At 42.1% G+C, this 24,488-nt stretch overlaps 1 protein-coding gene across 3 annotated transcripts in view, besides 9 other annotated features; it reads left to right on the top strand.

Annotated features, from left to right (window-relative positions):
* Window positions 144-700: an enhancer, noted in NCBI's record as "H3K27ac hESC enhancer chr5:118591447-118592003 (GRCh37/hg19 assembly coordinates)". NCBI's record gives its function as "activates a minimal SCP1, AML or CMV promoter by ChIP-STARR-seq in naive H9 embryonic stem cells {active_cell/tissue: H9 hESC(naive)}" and the evidence as "EXISTENCE:reporter gene assay evidence [ECO:0000049][PMID:30033119]".
* Window positions 12,247-12,296: an enhancer, noted in NCBI's record as "active region_22960". NCBI's record gives its function as "activates an Ori minimal core promoter by ATAC-STARR-seq in GM12878 lymphoblastoid cells {active_cell/tissue: GM12878}" and the evidence as "EXISTENCE:reporter gene assay evidence [ECO:0000049][PMID:35858748]".
* Window positions 12,717-12,766: an enhancer, noted in NCBI's record as "active region_22961". NCBI's record gives its function as "activates an Ori minimal core promoter by ATAC-STARR-seq in GM12878 lymphoblastoid cells {active_cell/tissue: GM12878}" and the evidence as "EXISTENCE:reporter gene assay evidence [ECO:0000049][PMID:35858748]".
* Window positions 12,967-13,216: a silencer, noted in NCBI's record as "silent region_16264". NCBI's record gives its function as "represses an Ori minimal core promoter by ATAC-STARR-seq in GM12878 lymphoblastoid cells {active_cell/tissue: GM12878}" and the evidence as "EXISTENCE:reporter gene assay evidence [ECO:0000049][PMID:35858748]".
* TNFAIP8 (TNF alpha induced protein 8) overlaps window positions 13,151-24,488 on the top strand; it is a 130,930-nt gene continuing 119,592 nt past the window's right edge. For all 3 annotated transcript variants that reach the window (NM_001286817.2, NM_001286815.2, NM_001077654.3), the window contains exon 1: window positions 13,151-13,299. Coding sequence is in view for 1 of the 3 variants with exons in the window: in NM_001077654.3 (NP_001071122.1) it covers window position 13,299 (1 nt within the window). In the remaining 2 variants the exon portion in view is untranslated. The remainder of the gene's footprint in view (window positions 13,300-24,488) is intronic.
* Window positions 13,737-13,806: an enhancer, noted in NCBI's record as "active region_22962". NCBI's record gives its function as "activates an Ori minimal core promoter by ATAC-STARR-seq in GM12878 lymphoblastoid cells {active_cell/tissue: GM12878}" and the evidence as "EXISTENCE:reporter gene assay evidence [ECO:0000049][PMID:35858748]".
* Window positions 17,918-18,007: an enhancer, noted in NCBI's record as "active region_22963". NCBI's record gives its function as "activates an Ori minimal core promoter by ATAC-STARR-seq in GM12878 lymphoblastoid cells {active_cell/tissue: GM12878}" and the evidence as "EXISTENCE:reporter gene assay evidence [ECO:0000049][PMID:35858748]".
* Window positions 18,128-18,177: an enhancer, noted in NCBI's record as "active region_22964". NCBI's record gives its function as "activates an Ori minimal core promoter by ATAC-STARR-seq in GM12878 lymphoblastoid cells {active_cell/tissue: GM12878}" and the evidence as "EXISTENCE:reporter gene assay evidence [ECO:0000049][PMID:35858748]".
* Window positions 18,252-18,751: an enhancer, noted in NCBI's record as "H3K4me1 hESC enhancer chr5:118609555-118610054 (GRCh37/hg19 assembly coordinates)". NCBI's record gives its function as "activates a minimal SCP1, AML or CMV promoter by ChIP-STARR-seq in naive H9 embryonic stem cells {active_cell/tissue: H9 hESC(naive)}" and the evidence as "EXISTENCE:reporter gene assay evidence [ECO:0000049][PMID:30033119]".
* Window positions 19,174-19,223: an enhancer, noted in NCBI's record as "active region_22965". NCBI's record gives its function as "activates an Ori minimal core promoter by ATAC-STARR-seq in GM12878 lymphoblastoid cells {active_cell/tissue: GM12878}" and the evidence as "EXISTENCE:reporter gene assay evidence [ECO:0000049][PMID:35858748]".

Raw genomic sequence — 24,488 nt, forward strand, 5'->3', positions numbered from 1 at the left:
GTACGCCAGAGGAACAGGGAAAAGACCACAGGGAGAAAGAAACCTCCAGCTGAACTTTGTAACAATTCCAACTAAACACAAAGTCTCCTGGCCAGAACTCTGGGGATGGTGTGAATCCAGTGTGCAGACCGATAGGCGGGGAGGAGTGAAAGCCCTGCTTGCTTCCTCAGCCAGGAGGCTGGTAGCCTGGGGCAAGTTCTCAGCCCTGCTTGCCCACTGCCTGGAAACCAACTAGGTGCTGTTGGTTGGGGGGCATGGTGAGAGTGAGATCAGCCTTTTCAATTACATGGGAGCTGGGTGAGGCCTGTAACTGCCAGCTTTCCCACACTTCCCTGACAACCTGCATGACACAGCAGAGACAGCCATAATCCTCCTGGGAACATAACTCCATTGACCTGGGAGCCACACCCCCATCCCCAACAGCCACCACAGCAAGCCCCGCCCAAGGAGAGTCTGAACTCAGACACGCCTAACCCTGCCCTTACCTGATGGTCCTTCCCTACCCAACCTGGTAGCTAAAGACAAAGGTCATATTCTCTTGGGAGTTCCAGGGCCCTGCCCACTGGCTGATCCTCCTCCATACTACCACAGCTGATGCTCTTTTGATAGATAGCACCACCTCCTGGTAAGAGGTCAACCAGCAGAAAACTAGTGCATTAAACAACTACAACTAAAGACACTCAGAGTCCATTTCACTCATCTGCCACCTCTACAAAAGCAGGTACTGGTATCCATGGCTGACAGACCTGAAGATGATTCACATCACAGGACTCTGTGCAGACACCCCCCAGTAGCAGCCCAGAGCCTGGCAGCCCTGCTGAGTGGCTAGATCCAGAAGAGAAATAACAATTACTACAATTTGGCTCTCAGGAAGCCACATCCCTAGGAAAAGGGGGAGAGTACTACATCAAGGGAGCACCTCATGGGACAAAAGAACCTGAATGGCAGCCTTGAGCCCCAGATTTTCCCTCTGACATAGCCTACCCAAATGAGAAGGAAACAGAAAAACAATTGTAATGTGACAAATTAAGTTTCGTCAACACCCCCCAAAAATCACACTAGCTCACCAGCAATGGATCCAAACCAAGACGAAATCCCTGAATTGCCAGAAAAAGAATTCAGAAGGTCAATTATTAAGCTAATCAAGGAGTCACCAGAGAAATGTGAAGTCCAACTTAAGGAAATAAAAAAAATGACACAAGATATGAGGGGAAAAATCAGTATGTATAATTGTGTCAATTAAAAACAATAAAAGCATAAAAGAAAAAAGACTCAGAAATGACACATAATGGAATTAATAGAAAAGGGCTGTAAAACAGCTATTGTAAGTATGCACAAGATCTGAGGAAAAACATTAATGTAATGAAAGCAGATGGTAGAACTATGTTGAACTTTTAGAGATGAAAAATACAATATCTGAAGTAATTCACTGGATGGGCTTAATTCTAAAACACTTTTGAAGAGAAGATCAGAGAATTTAAAGACATGGCAAGTGAAGCTATTCAAGAGAAAGCAAACATAATAAAAAAAAATTAGAAAAAATACAAGAGAGCAAGGAACACTGATTAATTAATGATGCTATAATACCAAGTGGTATGATACATCTACTTAGAGTCCCAGGAGAATGAAAATAAGAGGAAGAAAAAATACTTTAAAAAATAGCTTTAAAATTTTCCAAACTTGATGAAAACTATAAACCTGAAGATACAGGAAACTCAAAAACCCATAGTTGAGACAAGGTCTGGCTCTATTGCCCAGGCTGGAGTGCAGTGGCATGATCTCAGCTCACTGCAGCCTCCATCTCCCAGGCTCAAGTGATCCTCCCACCTCAGCCTCCTGAGTAGCTGGCACTACAGGCACACACCACCACGCCTGGCTATTTTTTTTTTTTTTTTTGTATTTTTAGTAGAAATGGGTTCTCGCCAGTTGCCCAGGTTGATCTCGAACTCTTGAGCTCAAGCGATCTGCCCACCTCAGCCTCCCAAAGTGCTGAGATTACAGGTGTGAGCCACCGTGCCTGGCCTCCATAACTGGATTAACACACATACATACCGCCATGATACCTCATAATGGCATTGCTGAAAATCAGTGATAATGAGGAAATGATAAATGTAGCCAGAGAAAGCAATATATTAGGCAACGAAAAACAATATAAACCAGTCTTTTCTCAGAAATTATGCAAGTCAGAAGACAATGGAACAATACCTTTAAAGTGCTGAGGAAACAACAAAGACAAACAAAAAATCTATACCCAGCAAAAATATCCTTCAAACATGAGGGCAAAACAAAGCCCTTTTAGACAAAAGAAACTAGTGAATTTGTAATTTGTTGCCAATGCATCTGAACTACAAGAAATACAAAAGGATGTTTTTTAAAGATTCAATGCTATTCCTGTCAAACTACCAATGACATTCTTCACAAAACTAGAAAAAAACTATTTTAAAATTCATGTAGAACCAAAAAAGAGCCCAAATAGCCATGGAAATCCTAATCAAAAAGAAGAAAACTGGAGGCATCACATTACCTGACTTCAAACTATATCACAGGGCTACAGTAACCAGAACAGGGGAAAGGAAAGGACTTCCCATCAATAAATGGTGCTGGGATAACTGGCTAGCTATATGCAGAAGATTGAAGCTGGACCCCTTCCTTACACCATATACAAAAATTAACTCAAGATGGATTAAAGACTTACATGTAAAAATCAAAACTATAAAAACCCTGGAAGACAACCTAGGCAATACCATCCTGGATATAGGAATGGGCAAAGATTTTATGACAAAGACACCAAGAAGCAATTGCAACAAAAGCAAGTATTAACAACAGTGATCTAATTAAACTTAAGAGCTTCTGCACAGCAAAAGAAACTATCCACAGAGCAAACAGACAACCTATAGAATGGGAGAAAATATTTGCAAACTAGGCATCTGACAAAGGTCTAATATCCAGGATCTATAAGGAACTTCAACAGATTTACAAGAGAAAGACAAACAACCCCATTAAAAAGTGAGCAAAGGACATGAACAGACACTTTGCAAAAGAAGACATACATGAAGCCAACAAGCATATGAGAAAAGCTCAAAATCACTGATCATTTGAGAAATGCAAATCAAAACCACAATGGGATACTATTATCATTTTTTGACTTTTTAATAAAATCAAAAAACAACATGCTGGCAATGTTGCAGAGAAAAGGGAACACTCAGACACTGTTGGTGGAAGTGTAAATTAGTTCAACCATTGTGGAAAGCAGTGTGGCGATTCCTCAGTGAGCTAAAAATGAACTATCATTTGACCAGGCAGTCCTATTACTGGGTATATACCCAGAGAAATGTAAATCATTCTACCATAAAGACACATGCACATGTATTCACAGCATGTGAATTATTCACGCAGCAGCATTATTCACAATAGCAAAGACATGGAACCAACCTACATGCCCATCAATGACAGAATGGATAAAGAAAATGTGGTATACATACGCCATGGAATATCATGCAGTCATAAAAAAGAATGAGATTGTGTCTTTTGTGGGAACATGAATGGAGGAAAAGGCCATTATTCTTAGCAAACTAATGCAGGAACAGAAAACCAAATACTGCATGCTGTCACCTATCAGTGGGAGCTAAATGATGAGAACACGTGGACACGAACGAAGGGAACAACAGACACTGGGGCCTACTTGAGGGTGGAGGGTGGAAAAAAGGAGAGGAGCAGAAAAAATAACTATTGTACCTGAGTGATGAAATAATCTGTACAACAAACTCCTGTGACACAAGTCTGCCTATATAACAAACCTGCACAGGTACCCCTGAACCTAAAATGAAAGTTAAAAAGGAAATGTTAAAGTACAGTGGCACGATCTTGGCTCACTGCAACTCTGCCTCCTGTCTTCAAGCGATTCTTCTGCCTCAGCATCCTGAGTAGCGGGGACTACAGGCACGCGTCACCACGCCCGGCTAATTTTTGTATTTCTAGTATAGACGGGGTTTCACCATATTGGCCACACTGGTCTCGAACTCCTGACCTCCTGATTTGCCTGCCTCAGCCTCCCAAAGTGCTAGGATTACAGGCGTAAGCCACCGTGCCTGGCCAAGAGTTCCTTTTTTTAAGGAGTCCAATTTTTTTAAAAAAGAAAATTAAAAAAGGAATTTCTTCAGGCTAAAGGCTAAAAGGAATACCTGATGGAAACTTGGATCTACAGTAAAAATTAAGAGTCCCAAATATACTAAATAAGTGAGCATATATTTTTAAAACTTTTCTTCTGTTTTAACTTTTTCAAAAGATGGCTGGGCATCATGGCTGGAACTGGAACCCAGGAGGCAGAGGTTGCAGTGAGCTGAGATTGCGCCACTGCAGTCCAGCCTGGGTGACAGAGCGAGACTCCATCTAAAAAAAAAAAAAAAAAAAAAAAAAAAAATGAATGTGTGTGTATATATATATATACACATATATATATTTTTATATTTTATATAAATATAAATTTATATAAATATATATTTATATATTTATATAAATATTTATATATATTTGTTTAAAGCAAAAAATAAATATTTTTATAGTTATTATATGCATAAATAGAAGTAAACTGTATGACAATCATAATACAAAGGGTGTTATTTTTAATATCCTTTATGAAGATGATTGTTATGGTTTGAATTGTGTCCCTGACAAAATTCATATATTGAATCCCTAAGCCCCACTGTGACTGTATTTGGAGATAGGCCTTTAAAGAGGTAATTAAGGTTAAATGAGATCCTACAGGTGGGGCCCTAATTCAATATGACTGATTTCCCTATAAGAACAGAGACTAAAGAGAGAGAGAGACATTTGATATGTGCATGCACAAACCAAAGACCATGTGAGGATACAGCAAGAAAGTGGTCATCTGCAAGCTAAGGAGAGAGGCCTGTAGAGAAACCAGATGTATTACCTCGATCTTGGACTTCCAGCCTTCAGTACTGTGAGAAAATAAATTTCTGTTGTTTAAGCCACCTGGTCTGTTGTAGTGATCATGTAGTTTTTTAGTTGTGCCAGAACAAACCAAAAGCATTTCCACTGGTCAAATTTACAATAATTTGATCATCAAATGTAATGTTAATTAAATGTTAAACTTTGTATGCTGTGTAACCAACTACTCCCTAATTTAGTGGTTTAAAATAGCAACCATTTGATAATGTAATGTTCCATGGCTTTGTGAGTCAGGAATTCAGAGGACTCATCTGGGTAATTCTCCTGCTCCATGTGGCATCAAGTGGGGTGGCCCAGTAATATTCAGCAGGCAGCATAGCTAGTCTGGAGTGCCAAAGACAGGTTTACTAACACACCTTGGAGGGCATGACCAGAAGTATGGGCTGAGGCGGAACTCTCCCTCTACATGTAGTTTCAGGGCCTTTCCATACCGTTTCTTCAACAGGGTCCAGACATCTTACATTATGGCTTAGGGCTCCAAGAATAAATGTCCCAAGAGATAGTTGAAGATAACAGTCTCTTAAGGTTGGACCTAGAAACTTGCACAATGTCATTTCTATCATATTTTATTGGTCAAAACTTCACAGAGCCCATCCAGCTTTAAGAGGGGAGGCCGTACCCTCCATCTCTGATGGGTAAAAGTGTCAAAGAACTAGTTGTGTCCACTTAAAATCTACCACAGTCCATCCTCTGTCCATAAATTATTTATGTTTCTCTTACATATAAAATAAACTCCCTCCTTATAAAACTCTAGTAGTTTCATCCTACTACATCATCAGGACATTAGGACCAGACTCAAGCCTCAGGATCCCCATTATTTAAATCAGGTCCAAGTATCTATTAGGCTTTTTTTTTTTTGAGACTCAGTCTCAACGCCCAAGCTGGAGTGCAGTGGTGGGATCTCGGCTCACTGCAACCTCTGCCTCCTGGGTTCAAGCGATTCTCCTATCTCAGCCTCCTGAGTAGCTGGAATTACAGGTGCCCGCTACCACGCCTGGCTAATTTTTGTATTTTCGTAGAGATGGGGTTTCGCCAAGTTGGCCAGACTGGTGTCGAACTCCTCACCTCAAGTAATCCGCCCACCTTGGCCTGCCAAAGTGCTGGGATTGCAGGCCTAAGCCACTGTGCCCGGCCTCTACTAGGCTTCTTAAGTGAGGTTTTAAAAGTATGATACCTTTCATTCTGAAGACCGGTGAACTAAAGAGACAAATTGTGTGCCTCCTACACACCAAGCATACAGTGATGAAACAAAGAAGAGCTCTCTCCCATTCAAAAAGAAGGAAACATTAGAATTACATAGCAGTCCCTGGTCCATAGAGATTCTAAAATTTAGATAGGCACTTGTTGCCAGTTCCTTAAATAACCCTTTTCCCTGGGAGTTACTCTCCACAGATCTTGGCTCCTCCCTCTGGGCTTCCCACCACCCTATCCCCACTCCCAGTCATTCTTCCTTTTCCATAAAAGTGGACCACGGTTTCAACTGATTAGTCTTCTCAGCTTGATTTCTGGCCATAGAAGTTTGAAGGTTGAAAGGCTTCTTTAAATTTTATGTGGTTCCTGTGTTTTACAGTTCAATCTAGTAAAATTCTTTTTAAAACTTTGTGGATTTCTTATATACTGAATTATAAACCACTCCACTTGACAAAAGCCACACCAGTATTTTTTTTTTTCTGAGACAGGCTATTCTTTACCTTGGGCCACCTGTGAGATTGCTGTGGTGTACCACCTTCAGATTCTTAGAAATCCTAGTGTCTCACAGAAAAGGTCTACATGGCACACCCTTAAATCCTTCTGAGATCTTAACAAAGGGAATAACAACTAAAATCTCGGCTATATTTTTACTTTGAGATCTTTTTTTTGTGGAGACGGAGTCTCGCTCTGTCACCCAGGCTGGAGTGCAGTGGGCGCGATCTCGGCTGACTGCAAGCTCCAGCCTCCCAGGTTCACGCCATTCTTCTCAGCCTCCTGAGTAGCTGGGACTACAGGCGCCCACCACCATGCCCAGCTAATTTTTTGTATTTTTAGTAGAGACGGGGTTTCACTGTGTTAGCCAGGATGGTCTCGATCTCCTGACCTTGGGATCCGCCTGCCTCGGCCTCCCAAAGTGCTGGGATTACAGGCGTGAGCCACCGTGCCTGGCTGAGGTAATTTTTAATCCACAACGATGTTGAATAAATTTTTTAAGTCCAGGAGACCATTGCTATGAAGAGTGAGAACTCATACATGATAGTAAGCAGTATACCAACTCTTTACCCTGAGGATTGGTATTTATAATGAAAGAAGTAAGGCTATTGAAGGAGAACAACATGGAAGTCAAAATCTACTAGGTAAGGGTGCTGTGCTTGAAGCAATACAGGACTAAGATGGGAACTTGTCTTGTTTAAAATCAAGTAGAGCATTCCCAACGTGGACTAGCATTTGGTGAGTAGAGGTATACAAGATAGCTCTGTCAATAGAGCCAGGACTTTAAGCTATATTTATTTATTTTAAAAGGCCTTAAAAGGAGCTGAAAAAGTAAAATTGTGTCTTCAAGAACAAGACAAAACAAAACTGGTCATTGTGGTATTTGGGATAGATTCACATGAGATTTGAGACGGTCCAAAAGGAGAAAATAGTTCAGGTGGGGAAGAACCCACGCAGAGAAACTAATGGTGCAATCATAGAAAAATAAGGATTCCGGCTAGAGACAACACTATAATTCCTAAGAATGTCTTAAGGGGTGGCCAATTAGAAACACACAAAGAACTTGGTTTCATGGGGAGTGTGGCTGACCCAATTGGGGACAGTTGTAGATAAAGTCACATTTTGAAGCAGCCTATAGTCTAGCAAGCTTTCTTTGGAAGAGATGTGTTTTTGTGCCCACGTTATCATAGGAGGTAAATAATTCTGCTTAAAGAGTGAAAAATACTCTAAAATGGAGGTACAGTCACTAGTGATATGTAATAGCCATGAGAGGCGATTGAGGTCTATTAAAGCAATGGGAAAAGATCACTATCTTAAAACCTTGATTCTTATTCTATCCCAGAGTTTCTATTATTTAATAGAAAAAAAAACTATACTCTTCATCTCACTCATCTGGTTACTTTGAGGACAAGATAAGATTTTATGATAATCCTCCAAAAATAAATAGGACTTGAAAGATAGAGTTGAAACAGTGGACAATTAAAGAGTAATTTGGAAGAATGGTGAAATTACAGCCATGCTTTGAATCAGGCGGGTTCACTGGCACATTCCCACAAAGATGTGGTTAAGGCACAAAGGCTACATAAACCTTTATGTGGGCTGCATTTAAGTTGCACATCTTTGCTTCAGTACTTTGCAGCTTGCTGGAAAATGTTAAACCTATCTTTCCCTTTTCTCTTACTTTTGCCCATAGTATCCTCCTCTGCTTGGCGAACTCCAGTTCATCCTTTTAACTCAAATGGATGGAACCTCCTTTGTGAAATCTTCCCCATTTTCCCAGGGAATGTGAGCTACTTCTTTTCTCTCCTCCCAGACTATTTGTGCATACATTTTTTATTGCATGTATCACAGTGCCACACAATTATTTCCTTACACTCAAAAAGAAGATGCTTTCTTCTGAGTAAGCAGAGTAGGGGCTTGGAGGAAAAGAGAAGAGTACACAAGAAAACTGGGTTAGAAGATTTTTTAAAACTTCACAACTTTCTCTGGAGTTAGTTTCCTTACCTTCAGCTGGGCAGAAACAAAAATAGAAGGCATGCACAGAGGTATTTTTGGCATGCAGCTACAGTAACAGCTATCTCTACTTCATGTGATTTATGGAGTTTGGGGGTTTTTGGGTCCGGGAGGATTCATCAATTTAGATGTAGCTACAATTATTTTAGAATATATTTAGCCATTGAGTAATGGACTAGTTATTAGGAGCTTCTAGATTCCAATGTGTTTTATTGGCCCCAAATTGGAAACATGCAAGAGATAGCTTGAAAAGGAAATGACCCAATTATCTATTGGCCCAAATAAGACAGCAAAGTTAGTTATCTTGCTAATTTCTAAACATCATCACACTATGAAATAAGGCAGAGAGGAAAAAAAGCCCTATTCAATTTCATTAGTAACAAAATGATGAATTGATTTTCAATGCAAAGGACCCCAGGGTTGCAAGTCACATAACCTGAGCATGCCCACATAAACCAAGTGTTCCCAATTCATGACCCCGGAGCCAACCACAGCAGAATGTAAGTACTCAGATTGAAGAATGGGAATGGAATTAAGAAGTGAGGGGTACTGTGTTTTGCTGCAGTATGGATTTAAGAGCCAAGGACCCAGCATCACCTCTTTGCATGACCCAATCAGATCATGCCTCCTTGCATTGTTCTGTCTCTCTCACAGTTATCCTCTGCCTATAAACCCTCCCTCCAGACCCCAGCCTGGGGAGACAGATTTGAGCATTGCATCCTATCACCTTGCCAGTCAACTTGCAATAAAGCTTTCTCATTTTTCAAAAGCCAGTGCCATAGAATTGTTTTCTAAACACATTGGGCGGTGAGCTCACTGATAGGATGCAAGTTGCCTAAGATTTCAGGGGTGCCCCACTCTCCATTCCTCCCCAAAAGTAAACACTGAGACAGTGGTCACTCTGCATTGTTTCTACCATTAGAGTCTCTCGTCTCTTAAGTTTAGATGGTTCTAGAAAGTGGATCATGCTGAGAGAGTGGGACCTCCATGTAGAATTTTAAATTTTGTATTATTTTTTAAATTTTAGCATTTTTATGTTTTGCAGGGGAAGTACAGAAATGAAAGATTGAGGATAAAAGTGAATGAATAGTTAATGGATATGGCCTCTGTAGATAGAAGAAAGTGATCATCGAGGACCCAGAGAACTGCTGAATGAGTTTGCTCTGATCCATTGAGACAAGAAGAAAGGAAGTCAAGATGAATGTGGATGCAGAGAGCATTTTGGGTGGCTGGGGCATGATGTCAAGAAACTTCTCTATTGATGATCTCTAAATTTCCTATGAACTAGGAAGTGAAATCATATATCAAGAGAGTGGGAAAAATGTCTTGAGGACATGGTAAAAAGATTAAACCCCTTCTCCTTCCCATCCATGATGCTGGAGGATATGCAGGCTGCAGGATGGCTTAGTGGAGACTTGAGGTCATAAATCTGTAGTGGTACCAAGTTTCACACTTTTTGGTTGTTAAGTAGTCCATATAAAAAATGTGGATGGCTAAAAAGATTTGCCAGGTGGGTACAGGGAAAGGACAATGGGATAAAGCAAGGGAGTGACTGATGTGTTGACTCTCGGAGTTAGGCTGGATAGGAAAAGAGGCTGAGTGGAAGAAATGCAAATCTAGATCAGATAAAAGAAGATTGTGGGGATCAAGGGTGGGAGGTTGTAGTTGGGGTATAGAATGTCAGAGATACAGATAATAAAGGTAGAGGTGGCTCTGAGGGTGCTGCTACAGAGTGCAGCCGGGGACAAGGGAGACTAAAATCAAGCAATGGTGAAAGTTACTGGGGTTGAGGTTTCAAACACCATGACATCCTGGGTGACTCTCACAGCAATCATGCAGATGGAGCTTCTCCTTCTATCTCACACAGTAGAAGCTAAGTCTCATTAAGGTTTTGGGCTTTGCCCAGAGTCATCCAGCTTACACAAGGCAGTTCCAGTATTAGAATTCTCAATTGGTGGTAACAAATATCACTATCCATGGGCATTCAGAGATAGTTTCTGATTATTTGGGGATGGGAGAGGTTGGGTGTCTACAAACCCTTTTAATCCTTTAAATTCTAGTTTAGTTGCATTACTGCAGAATCCAGAGGTATTTAGAAAGTACCTATCTTTGTCCTTCTTTCCACTGAATGACACCACCAACGACTGACCCTGCCAGTCCTGAAACCCTTTAAATCTACCTACATGACTCACCTTCCTTCACTCCCTCCATCCCCTCAATCTCCAGGCTTTTATAAGTCTTGAATGCATATTCTCCTTTCCATCCACATAGTTTAGGCCCTCAGCATCTGTATTAGTTTTCTACTATTGCCATAGCAAATGATCACAAATTTAGGGGTTTAAAATAACACAAATGTATTACTTTACAGTTCTGTAGGCCATAAATCAGTATTAGTCTCACCAGGATAAAATTAAGGTGTCAGTAGAGCTCAATCACTTTCTGAAGACTCTAAGGGAGGATCCATTTCCTTGCTCATTTAGGTTATTGGCAGAATTCAGTTTCTGCTGTTGTAGGACTGTGGAAGAAAAACAAGTCTAGACCAGATAAAGAAAGTGAATTTTTTGTTGGCTGTCAGCTAAGGTCCTTTCCCAGCTCCTGGAGGTTATCCACAGTCCTTGGTTCGTGGTTCAGGTTGAGTCCCTCTCACACTTTGAATCTCTTTGACCCACTCTTCTTCCATTTTAGGGGATTCATGTGATTAGATTGGGCTCACTGAAATAATCCAGGATAATCCCCCATCTCAATGGCATCAATCTTAATCACACCTGCAAAATTTCTTTATTCTTTTTTTTCCCATGACCGAATGAGAAGGTAACACCTGCAAAAATTCTTTTGCCATGTAAGATAACATATTTACAGGTTCCAGGGATTAAGAAGTGGACCTCTTTCTGTAACTCTACTCATTCTGCCTACTGAAGTATCTCACCGACATATTTCAATATTTCCTAAGCAAGTTTCTTGGTTCTGGGATCTTCTATGTTTCCAGATTAAACTTTCTAGAACCACACCTGACATATCTCCTGTGCTTAAAACCCTTCTGGCTTCCTACCAATCAAAGGTCAAATTAATGTTGTTTAGTTTCTATAGGAAAACAGCCCTTGAGTTTGGTCCTGTTTTACTGTTTTAGCTTTATTCCGGCCACCATTCCACTTCTCCTCCATCCTTATTCAGGCTTGAAAAAGTTTACTGTGATTCTTCTTCACTTATAAGCTGCCTTTGAAGCTCCCATTTCTTCTTCCAAACCCAGCTCAGACATCACCTACACCAGGAAGATCTCCCTGACGCCCTTCCCCAAAGTTATAACCACAGGACAAGGTCCTCTTTTAAAAACCTCCGTACCTTGTGTATGTTTCTATCTTTTGCATTAAACCCAAATGTGTTGTGATTTTGTCTATTTCACCTATCAAGAGTTTACTTTCCTCTCTCCAAGCCAAACTCAGCCATTTCCCAAACGTGTAACTTTCTTTGGGAAGGCTATTTACTTCACGATGTCTCCCTTTCCCTTTGTAAAACAGGGATAGCGACAGGATCTATATCATAGATTGTTGTAAGGAGTAGAACGGTGACCTACACATATTAAGTTTTACTAGTATTATTAATATTTCCAGCCCTCTGCCCCCCGCTGCCATGTACTAGGTGCTTAATGGATGTTTATTGTATGGATGGATTCATCGTACTCCCACCAAGGTCCCTCGCCCTTGAAAATGGCTACCCCGGGCCAGGGCTCCTCAACAGACTGAAGGTCCAGATCCTACTCCATCCTGGCGGTCTCGGGTGGCCCCTGAGGAGGGCAAGCCTTCTGCTCCACAGGCAAGGACAGTCACAGCTAAGTCCGCGGGGGGCGGCAGAGAGCGAGGGCTTTCCAGGAGCCAATGAGTCTTTAACTCCAAGAGGAAGCCCTGCATTCTCCGCAAATGGAAACCAGGAATCGGGAGCGCGTCAGCTATCGTAGGGTAGACTTAAGGCCCGCAGAAAATTAAAAGCAAAAGAGCAGGCGGAATTCAGGGGCTTTCACGGATCATCATCATAATAGTCAATAATGATGGCAGCAGACACTAACATTCACGCGTTCTTGTTAAGTGCAAGGCACAGTGCAAATGTGTATGGCCCCATTTAACCATCTCAACACACTACGAGGTTGGCGTCTCATTTTTACAACGGAAGAAACTGAGAGGCTCAGGAATACCGTATCCTATGCACATCTCCCAAGAGGGTCCTGTTCTCCAGCGCCCAGCGATCTGGGCCTCGCGGTCCGAGTCCGGCTCCCGGGCCGCCGCCCAGCCCTTCTCCGCGCTCTCCTGCGCCTGGGCCACTTCCGACTCCTGCTGTCCGGTCCCCAGCTCCTCCTCACCCACTCCGCCCCGCCATGCCCCGCCCCAGCCGCTCGGCTCCTCCTTCCCTGCACGCTCCGCCCCCGACCTCCCGGCTCCTCCCCGGCCTGCCCGCCACACCCTTGGTCCCTCCTGCAAGTTCCGCCCCTGGCCTCTGCCTCCTTTTCTCCCGCCGGCTCTAACCCGCGCTTGGCTAAGGTCCGCGGGAACCCGTGAGCCACCGAGAGAGCAGAGAACTCGGCGCCGCCAAACAGCCCAGCTCGCGCTTCAGCGTCCCGGCGCCGTCGCGCCACTCCTCCGAGTAAGTGGCTCCTGGGCGCGCCCGTCCCGCGCACACTCCAGCGCGCCTCTCCCGCCGCTGGGCTGCGGGCTGCTCTCGGGGAGCGCCTCCGGCTCAGAGAGTTTCTGAAGCGAGTGTGAGTGAGTGTGAGTGGGTGCGTTTGAACAACTTGTTTAGGTGGGTGTGCGTACGAGTGTGTGCAGGAGCGCACAGCCTCGGAAACTCCGCGAAATTTTACTCGGTTCCAGTGCCGCACTGAGGATCCAAGACCCCTTTTAGGAACCCTTACCTATTCAGGGCGACCTCTTAACCACCTCCTGCCGTGAGCCTCATTCCTTCCCTCCCTTTGTAACTGGGTTCCCGCTATTTGTCACGTCCTCCTGTAACCGCACATACTGGCGAAAGCACTGCCCGGGTTATCAGGGTGCCCCAGATTGCAGACTGAGATGCTGGCCTGAGATTGTAATCCAACCTTGCATTGTAAAACGGGCAGAGACCAGAGCCCTGCTTTGAGATCATTCGGTGGAGACTTCCTTTGAGGAAGAAAATGTGTGTGTGTGTGTGTATGTGTGTGTGTGTACATGACTGCACATGTCGCACTGGAGCCCTCAGCACCTGCTGCAAAGACACCTGATGAGCGCCCAGGCTCCACGGACTCCTCGCGACTGATAGGCACGTTCAAGACCAGGCTGACCCAACAGGCTTAGGCACCTTGAATATGTTTATTGCTTCAGTGACACTGTATTTCTAAACCAACAGATTTTCGAAAACACAGAAGCTCTAAGTAGAAAAAGCAGTATCCCTAGAGGAATCATGGAAGGAATCAAACAGTAGTTCAGTGCCCAGTGTTGAAACAAGAAAATCCTTGGATTGCTTAAGACTGATAATTCCATCCCTACATAATTATTTTTATGGGGGGAGGTGGGGGTCAGTACTCCCTCAATGCAGGACATATTTCTACATTTAAAAAGTTAATTGGAAGCTATGGTATCATAACAGCAGTATTGTACAAATAGTTTCTTCATCTATAAAATGATTGCCTGGTTGCTGGGGTCCTATCTAATTTTAATAGTCTCTCTGAGTTCTACATTTCAGTTTATTCTTGCTACTTTCTTGCTATGAAAGTAAAATATTCTCCTACTTCCTTGATAATAATCCATTTATGAAATGTTCAAAATCACATTCTGAGTAGAAATTATTCTTCGAGGGTAAGGATAACAAAGCTGTGTGGCCAAAGGAAATAACCAAAAAGGGTAGGCTTTAAGAAGCCATTGTGCATTGGCACATGAAAGGTAAGAGTTGATAAATCACTGTAAGTGCTGCTTATCGCAGCCGATATTTTTATCCTGGTTTGAATCCTGTATTACACAGAAGTGTTTCCACACTGTTTTAACTAAGGAAACATTATACTTTGCAGTGTAAACATATGACTCCATCTCTCTTTAAGGAAAGAAATAATTATCACGTTTGATGAAACACTTAGACACGTTTATTGCCACCGTCTAATTAGATCTGTCATGAGCAGTTAAGTCAGCAAGCTATGGTTGTTGTTGTTTTTAGAGACAGGGTCTTGCTATGTTGTCCAAGGTGGTCTTGAACTCCTGGGCTCAAGTGATCCTCCTGCCTCAGCCTCCTGAGTAACTGGGACTACAGGGGCCCACAAGTAATTGTTAATATTCTAGCTAGTAACACAATTTGCTTTTTTGCAGATTTTTTGGATGCCTTTTGTCCTCCATACACATTAATTGCCTCTGGCATTCACTGCCCATCTTTTCAGTTTTTACTTGTAATCTGAGTAAATAAAGTTTAGGGAAGTAGACTACCACCTACTCCTCTGTAAAATATGAATCCCTTAGATATTGAATGTGTTGTGTTAAGCTCTTTGGATTGACATATGTAGACTTTATAAACCATTATATTAATCTAGATTATGTGATGATTTAAGAATTATTAATAAATCAGTGAATAAAACAAGGTTCTACCAAAAGCATAGTGATCCTGCACAAATGGGCCTTTTAAACACTTTCTTTAAGGGCAACTTTTACTCCGTGTACCTTTTGTTCCAGTGTGTTTAAACTCACCAAGAAAAGTTGGTGTGAGTTGAGAAATCTCATGTTTGTTGTCTCTTAATTTTCTATTTCAGACTATATTGCTAGACATAGTCTTTGTTTACGTGTTGAGCTGTCGTGAGGACAGGCTGTCCTGGGATCCTAAACAGAATAGCAGAAACCTGGGGGTGAACACACTGCAGAGGCCAGGAACAGAGTATTTTATGAGGCCAGTTCTTTGCAATTCTCATTCTGTTGAAATGGAGGAAAGGGTGTGTGGAGAGGAATGATTGCATCCAAACAGTACTAATTAGGAAATGCTGAGTTGGGGGAGGAGTGGATTTCTATGTGACTTACGGCTTGGAGAACTTCACAGAGGTGATCTTTAAAGTTGAGTCTGCCACAGTGCCAGGCACTGCAGAGGTCTCATATTTAATTGATCCAATTAATCCTCTTTTGCAGAAGATAGCCCAATGTGGTAGTAACACCCTTCCTGGAGATTTCATTCATTCTCAGAATTGAGCTTTGATCTACCTCATGTAGAATGGTCCATTCCTCACTGCCTCCATTTATGCGTGATAGCAGTTGAAGGGGCTGAAAATGGGATAACCTCCAGGAGACGGGAGAAGCAGTGATGATAAATAAGGGCCACCTGCTTTTTCACAGAGGGGAAGGGCATAGGGGCTATTAGTACAATTCCAGTGCCAGGGGCATTGACTTTGGCAATGGCGACATGCACAGGGGCCAATCTGGATAACAAAGTGGACAATTTTCCCTGCTTTGGCATTCTCAGGGATCTCTGGCTCTGATACAGAAGTTAAGGGAAGGAGTTGTGTGGTGCCAGATTAACTTTTATCACCTCACCCCTCCTCACACTGCCCACATCCTGCATTTAATACCAAATGCACACAGCAAGAACTCAACAAACACTGAAAAGGCCCTCGTAACACCCAACCTTTATGTTTCCCTCTGGCTAAGAATTTTCTTCCCATACTCTTGTCTCTGGTTTTGATGACTGTGGCCCTGGAGTCTGAGCCAACTGCAGTTTCTAGGCTTCTATACTTCAGTTGTGCTGCCCAGTAGCTGAAAATGAATAATTTGTAGAGGGTAAAAAACAAAAACAGAGAACCATGTTGCAAAATGTAAAGGAGGTCAGTTCATTTTTAGCCTACATTTTGGCCTGAAGAGGAGGAAATGAGCTACAAGTGGAGGGTAGATAATTCTAGAATAGCAGAGCCAAGGGGTATCTTGGAAACCACCTGGTCTATGGCCTTACACCATATGGTTGCTATTCCTCAACTTTGGAGGTGTCCATCTCCTTAAGTCCAGCTTGCAGGAGGAGAGCACCATTCATTCACACAGCAGGCATTTATTGAGCTCCTGCTATGTGCCTGGTACAGCACACCCTTCTCATGTTTACATGAAATCCTTGGGATTTGAGAAGGCAGGTAACTTGCGTAAAGATGTCTGTTGATAAGAAGGAGTCCCTGAAGGTAAGTTGCTAGTGGCAAAAATGGGTTTGGAATTCTGTTGTGTTTCACAAGGGCAGTAGAATGATATTCAAAATATTTGTCTTTCTCAACAATAAGAAACTCAAAAGAAGCACATTTCTGCCAACATCTGTTTCAAATAACCAGTGGTATTACTGAAACAAACCTGATTCCATAGGATTTTGTTTTACATCAGACATAAGTTACCTGAGAATTGTTTGAAAATGTCACAGGCTCAGCAATAATCAAATAATACCCAGCCCATCCTTTTAGACAGCAGTTGTTTTTTCTCTGGAAGCAAGTGTTTATGGTTCAGAACTAAGGTAGCTGAGGTTCAGAACCAGCTGCAAAGCTGGGTGTGTGCCAAAAAGGTTGTTTTCCTAGGCTTGCCCTTTTCCGTATAGGACAAGGGGGATTAAAAACCAACATGGTGATGTTTCTGTCAAGGTGACGGGGGGCTAGGTGTACAGATCTTTTCCACTAAAAACAAGGGTTGCGGGCAGGTGGTCACAGGATTGAGACTCCAGGCTAACTCGTAAACACCTCTGGGTTCGTTTCTTTAATAACAGAATGGAATTAAGTTCAAAATTCCACTTGTAGTTTCCTTAAACATTGGGAATAAAGATGACTTTAGTCAAGAAGTAGTTGGTCCAAATGACTTTGCTGGAATCAGCAGCTCATGTCTCAGCCCCTGCTGGCTGTGTGGCTTTGGACAATCTACTTAGCTCTCTGAGCCTGTTTCTTCACCAGAGTAAAAACTGGGGATAGTATTTATATTATAGGATTGTTGTGCAGATTAAGCCAGATGTTCCTCTCCTGTATCAGTGTGCAGAAGGCACCCATTAAGTGGAGGACTTAGTTAGATTGGCCAAATAGGTCTCATTCCAGTAAGTGTTAGTACTGAGCCACAGTGGAGTAGAGAGGGAAAGTAGTAACTTGTGTCATATGTGATTTTAGCATGAATTCTTTTTTCCTTTAACAATGCCAGAGGAGCCCAGAGAATGGGGTGAATGTAGCACAACTTCAGTGATTGCTAGCTGCAGGGTCACATGATTATATAAGGGAAATGTCACCGCTGCTGCCAAAGATAAGTGAGCCAGAGCAGGGCATTCGAGTTTTATGTGCCTGAGAACGAAGACGAGCCATAGTACCCATTAAGCTTCTCTGCATGAGGGAAGCTTTCAAAAGACCTATTACAGTTAAATTGTGAGCAGTGGGTTGGCCTTTCACAACTCCCATGTTTAAAACAGGTAGTGAATGAAACCAGATTATTTAAGACAGACAGCTGCCCTTGGTGTTGCAAAGGGAATCGGGCTGGCATGTCTTCAGGGGAAGTTGCGTGAGGTCCGGGAGGCCCAGGGCAGGGACCGCATCTGCAGGATTAGGCACCGGGGCAAGGTCTTTTGGGAACACAGTACTCAGCAAGGCACACAGTAGACTCTTGGATATTTTAAAGGAGCCAAAAAGTAAGCAACAGCTCACTCTGTCAATACCCTCTCTAAGCCTGGCTCTTACTCCTTCAACCCAAATTCATTTAGCTCAAGCCTTCCTCATTCCTAACTCTTATTTATTACTCTTATTTATCATTTGTTTAACAAAATGAGGTTTTTTGTTTGTTTGTTTGTTTGGTTTTACAACATGGCTGTCAACAAAAATAGGGGAGACAGAGATTGTGGTGTGTGCTATGTAGACCTAACTACACTCGTCTTTCCTGTCCTGAGCTCTCTTCTGACTGTGTTCAGACCCTCACACACATGCAGACACGAAAAAAAATGCCAGTCTTCTGAGAAAAAAATGCATGGACAGTGTTGGCAACAGTGCAAGTTTCAGAACAAACTTTGGTCACGTAAATCTTTGGGAAGTAAGTCCAGTACCTCATTCCATCATTCTGTGGTCAGGAAACTACTCTTTTATTTTTCCTTCTTCACTCTTTAAAGGGTTGAGATTGTTTTCTGGAAAATGGCAGGTGTTTGGTTAAATACTGTTTTGCTACACTTGAAGGGCAGAGCAGTCCTCACTTAGTGATGGAATTCCTTTTGCCTTGAGGCAGAATTAGGCTGCTAGTGACTCATGAGGTATACCTGGAAGAGGTGAGTGAACTCAGGCCTTCCCAACATCCGGTGATGACCTCTGTTTGCACACACGTAGCCACTTTGCTCCTTTGCTTTTATGACCTGGAATGACTGATAGTGCCTGAAGGAACAGGCTGCTATTACTTTTCAAGGTAAGAGACCCTGTGTAAATAGGGAGCCTCCTGAGGAAGCAAGGATTCCCTGCCCTGTGTACCTGTGGTGCTTATCACCTCCCTGGCAGGGAAGCTCTGCCCAGGTAGGGTAGTTTGAGAACATCATTATCTGGGCAGCTACAAAAGTGATACACCAAATGAAACTTTGAACTTATCCAATGTGCTGTATTTTAGGGCTCATCTGGGACTATTCCTGTGAACCTGACTGTTAAGTCAGAATCACCAGTGAAGCTTGATGCAAATTGAGAACCCCTAGCCTGGGAGACTTATGTGACTCATTTTCCTGTCTTGTTCTAGAAAGAAGCTTATTCAGGCAGCAGCTAGCTGTAGGGATTTTTTTTTAATTTTTTTTTTTTTTTTGGCAGTGGAAAGAGCTCTTGAAAGTACAGAGTGGCTTTAAAGTTTAAAGAAGATTAAAATGAACACAACATATAAAATAAACACAACATATAAAATGAACACCTATGTACCCATCTTAAGAAATAACAAAGTTGTTTTTATAGGTCTTCACTGGGTGGAAAAATATTAACAAGCAACCAGGTCAAGAACAAAAAATAACAACCAAAACAATTAGTGGTGTCCCACAAATAGATCCAGAAATTGAAGGCCATGAAACAGAGACATTGGAGAGTCTGCCCAGTGTTCATTAGTTGAAAATCTAGACTTGAGTCACCAACAATGCTGACATCATAAATCCAGTATGCCAGCTGACTTAAGGATAACTCAGGTGGTTTGTAGATACTGAACTGGGATGGGCATCCTTATTTCAACAGCGGCGCATGTTTGGAAGAGCACGGGCCCAACTCAGGACTCGGAGTTGCCAAGCGGACCGTTTCCCCTAACCCAGGCCTGTTTCCTGTCCTGAGGTCCTGGTACCTCCAGGAATCTATTCTGTTCTCAGAGTGTCCCTCTCATTTTGTAATGGTAGAAAATGAGAAAATGAAAAACAGACCATTTTTTTCTTTGAAGCCATGTTCTGTAACTTCCTCCTGCTTCTTTTGCATTTTGGGTTTTGCCAGTACTTGAGACTTCCCTTTTTCTGAATTTTAGTCAGTTTTTAATTTATCATTCTAATAGGGGCCATGGAAATTAGAATAATAAAGGTTTGCTACTGATCATAACATAGTATTAATTTTAGTAGATTGACAGCTTTTTTTTTCCCCTCTAGATTTAAATATTTGAACAGAGAATAACAGGTTATGAAACTGACTAATTCAGGTCTGGCCTCTGCCTTCCTCTGTAGTCAGCCATCCCCCAGGTTTGCTGCCCTGGAGTTGAGCACACCAGGGCCTTTCAGCCTTACCATTAGGGAAATGAGGCAGATAGAGGAGGTTGGGCAGTGACTTGCGGAGACAGGTGGCAGGGGCAGAGGATTAACCACCCAAGCCCAACAAGCATATCCACACTGAATTTTACGCTTTAATCAGTCTTTCGTTAAGTTCTGTTTTTTTTTTTTTCTTTTTTTTGAGTTGGAGTCTTGCTCTGTCTCCCAGGCTGAAGTGCAGTGGTGCAAACTTGGCTCACTGCAACCTCTAACTCCCGGGTTCAAGCGAAGCTCCTACCTCAGCCTCCCGAGTAGCTGGGATTACAGGCAAACACCACCACATCTGGCTAATTTTTGTATTTTTAGTAGAGACAGGGTTTCACCATGTTGGCCAGGCTGGTCTCGAACTCCTGACCTCAAGTGATCCACCTGCCTTGGCCTCCCAAAGTGTTGGGATTACAGGCTTGAGCCACCGCACCTGGCCTGTAAGTTCTGTTTTTTTTATGGTTGCCTTTAGTGATGATAGTGTTCTATATAAGTGTATTAGTTTTTAAGGGCTGCCATAACAAAATACCACAGACTGGTGGCTTAAACAACAGAAATTTATATTCTCACAGTTCTGGAGACTGGAAGTTCAAGATCAAGACGTCAACAGGTTTGATTTCCCTGAGGCCTCCCTCCTTGCCTTTCAGATGGCCACATTTCTGCTGTATTCTCACAAGAACATTTCTCTGTGCACAACCCTGGTGTCTCTCCCTCTTCATAGAGTGCCAGTCATATTAGATTAGGGTCCCACCCTTATGATCTTATTTAACCTTAATTGTTTATTAAAGCCTGTCTCCAAACACAGCCATACTAGAGATCAGGGTTTCAGTATATGAATTTGGGTGGTACATTTCAGTCTATAACAATCGCCTTTATAAAGGATATTAGTTGTCCTCCTTTACACAGGGAGGATCTTTTCAGGACCTGCAGTCTATGCCTGAAACTGCACATAGTACTGAACCCTATATAAGCTATATTTTTTCCTATACATATGTACCTATGATAAAATTTAATTTATAATTTAAGCACAGTAAGAGATTAACCATAATACCGAATAATAAAATAGAACAATTATAACAATATATTGTAATAAGATTTATATAAAAATGATCTTTCTGTCTTCACTTTCTCTCAAAATATCTTGTATACTGCACTCACCTGTTTTCAGACTGCATGGTCTGTGGTCACACTGCAACTGTGGAAACCGAGACCATAGATACGGGGGACTACTGAGGAGACCACACCGTTTGTGTTGTGATTGTCATATGGTTTATTTCTGTATCTATGTATAATCCCTACAAATTATAGTTACTTTTTTCTTTAAACAATGATCTTTTGAAGAAATTAAAACAGGAGAAAAATACGCATTTACTGTGTGTGGGGCTTTTGATTTTTTAGTGTAGACACAAGTTTCCATCAGGGATTTTTTTTTTGTCCTTCAGCCTGAAGAATAAAAATTTTTAATATTATAGCTCACGTCTACTGGCCACAGATCCTCTCAGCTTGTTGTTTGTGCGCACACTTGGCGTCTGTGTGTCCAGCTCTCCTCTTATAAGGATACCAATCAAATTGGATTGGGGACCACCTTAAGACTAATTTTAACTGAGTCACCTCTTTAAACATTCTGTTTCCAAATGCAGTTGCTTTCTGAGATATTGGGAGTTAAGTCTTCAGCATATGAACTTTTTGGTGTTTCTTAGTCTGTTTGTACTGCTGTAACAAAATATCTGAGACTGGGTAATTTGTAAAGAACAGAAATTTATTTTCCACAGTTCTGGGGGCTGGGAATTCAAGATCAGGGCACCCACAGATTCAGTGTCTGGTGAGGGCAGCTCTGGGCTTCCAAGAGGGTGCTTTCTTGCTGTGTCCTCACATGGTAGATGAGATGGGAGGTGGAGGGGCAAAAGGCACTGGGGTACACCTTTCAACATCTTTTGTAAAAGCACTAATCCACTCATAAGGGTGGAGCCCTTATGACTTAATCACTTCTAACCACCTCTTAATACCACCACCTTGGGGTTTAGGTTTCAACATATGAATTTTGAGGGGAGATACACCTTCAGACCATAGCAGGAGGGACACAATTCAGATCATAACAATCGGGATGTTTTAGACTGCAATTAAGCAAATGCCAATGAACAGTGATTTGAATAGTAAAGACATTAAATTGTCTTATATGAAGGGCAGTCTGGGATTGGGTAGATTCAGGATTGGATCCTTGGCTAAACAGTGTCATCAGGGACCAGTTCTATCTATTCTCATCCTTAGCATGTTACATTTTTATCTGCAGACTTGCCTCTTTGTGGGCGGAAATAGCTTTCTCAGCAACAGGTATCACAGGTTCCTGCCAACCTCTTTTTAAGACAGGAAGGGGGAGAGAGAGAGAGAGAGAGAGAGAGTGTGTGTGTGTGTGTGTGTGTGTGTGTGTGTGTGTGTGTGTGTGAAGGGTGGACACAGAGGGCAGCAATAAATTGCTTCTCTAGTAGTGTCTATCCCTTTTCATCCGGGAGTAAAATCTTTCCTGGAGCCTCTTTAAGCCTCATTGGCCAGAACTGAGTCACAGCCTTAAGGGAAGCTGTGAAAGTGAGTATTGGGCATTGAGGGAGAACCTCTATTGTGGGAGGTTGGCTGTGCCCATAGGGGAAGGGGAGGGGCATGGTTACAGGGTGGACAAGAAGCATCTGTACTAACCCTGGGCTCCCATTCCCTAAAGGCCAGTTACAGCCATCAGTATTCCTGATACTAATAATCCCAGGTTTCATTGGAGTTAAAACTAACCACCCATGATGGTAGTTGGGAGGAGAAAACCAAATAATAATATGGAAGGTGTTGAAAATCACATATACATAATTACTACTAGCAGTGACTTTTTCTTATTCTTTTTCATTTTAAAACTGACTGGAAGTATCTTGAAGCAGTGATTTTTTGATGTTAAAGGTCATGGGTTTATAAAATAGCACTACTTACTTTGGGGAAAGCATCCTACATTCCAGCCAGAAAGGTATCCATCATATAGAGAATTCCTTAATTTTCCAGAAATGTTTACCATCCCAGTAATCATGGCAAACACTTGTTGAGTACGTAGGGTGGGCCAGCAGGCACTGTGCTGAGTGCTTTATACACATTATTTAATTTCATCTTCAGGAGGAATCTATGAGAAAGATACTATTGTTAAGCCTTGTTTGCAGATAAGGAATTGAGGCTTAAGGAGGTTAAGTAACATGCTGTGAATGCCTGGCCACGCTGGGATTTACACTCTGGTGGCTCAGCTGCCCTCCCATACTTGTGCTACAGGGTGTTACTCTTCAATAATACTGCCACAAACACCCTCTTTTTCTGTGAACTCTCAAAGGCTGTTGCCTCTCCAACCAGTCTGGTTCTGCTACAAAGCTTGTCTCCATGTTTCATTCTTCACATTTTGTTGTTTTTAATAGTAGAAGGATGAACCATGGTGGTGTGCAGAGCTGGTCATGCCATACCTCATGGAGTGTGAGATGTGTCATCTTGTATTTGTGAGAACCCAATGCCCGACTGTTCATTGCAATTCTGGTAGATATCTAAGAGGTTATTTTGTTATTTTATTTTTTTTATTTATTATATGTGTTTGTTAGAGATAGGGTCTTGCTCTGTTGCCCAGGCTGGAGTGCAATGGCTATTCACAGGCACAATCATAGCACACTACAACCTCAAACTCTTGGCTTCAAGCAGTTCTCTCGCCTCAACCTTTTGTGTAGCTGGGACTACAGGTGCATGCCACCACACCCAACTCTAGGAAGTCATTTTGAATTGAGATTGCTCTTGAGGTATTTTGGAGCATGTCATTTGTTATATGCTTTTAAAAATAATTTAAAGTGTTATAAGGCAAATTTTAATTAAACAGTGTACATTCAGTTATTTACCTTCAAAGTGAAAAGTTCATTGAAACAGTGTTCGTAAGATGCTGGTTCCTGTCTGATTTATTACTGGGTCCCTACACTTTTCCACCTAGCACTGAGAGACACGTTGCAATTTTTTCCGTCAGTTGGCTACTGTGCTGATATGCCTAGATTTTCTTAATGCTTTTTTAATACTTTTATTGTAAAACATAAATATCAAAAAGCCACACAAAACAAATGTAC

Source organism: Homo sapiens, chromosome 5 (assembly GCF_000001405.40).
Source record: "Homo sapiens chromosome 5, GRCh38.p14 Primary Assembly".
Taxonomy (NCBI): Eukaryota; Metazoa; Chordata; class Mammalia; order Primates; family Hominidae; genus Homo; species Homo sapiens.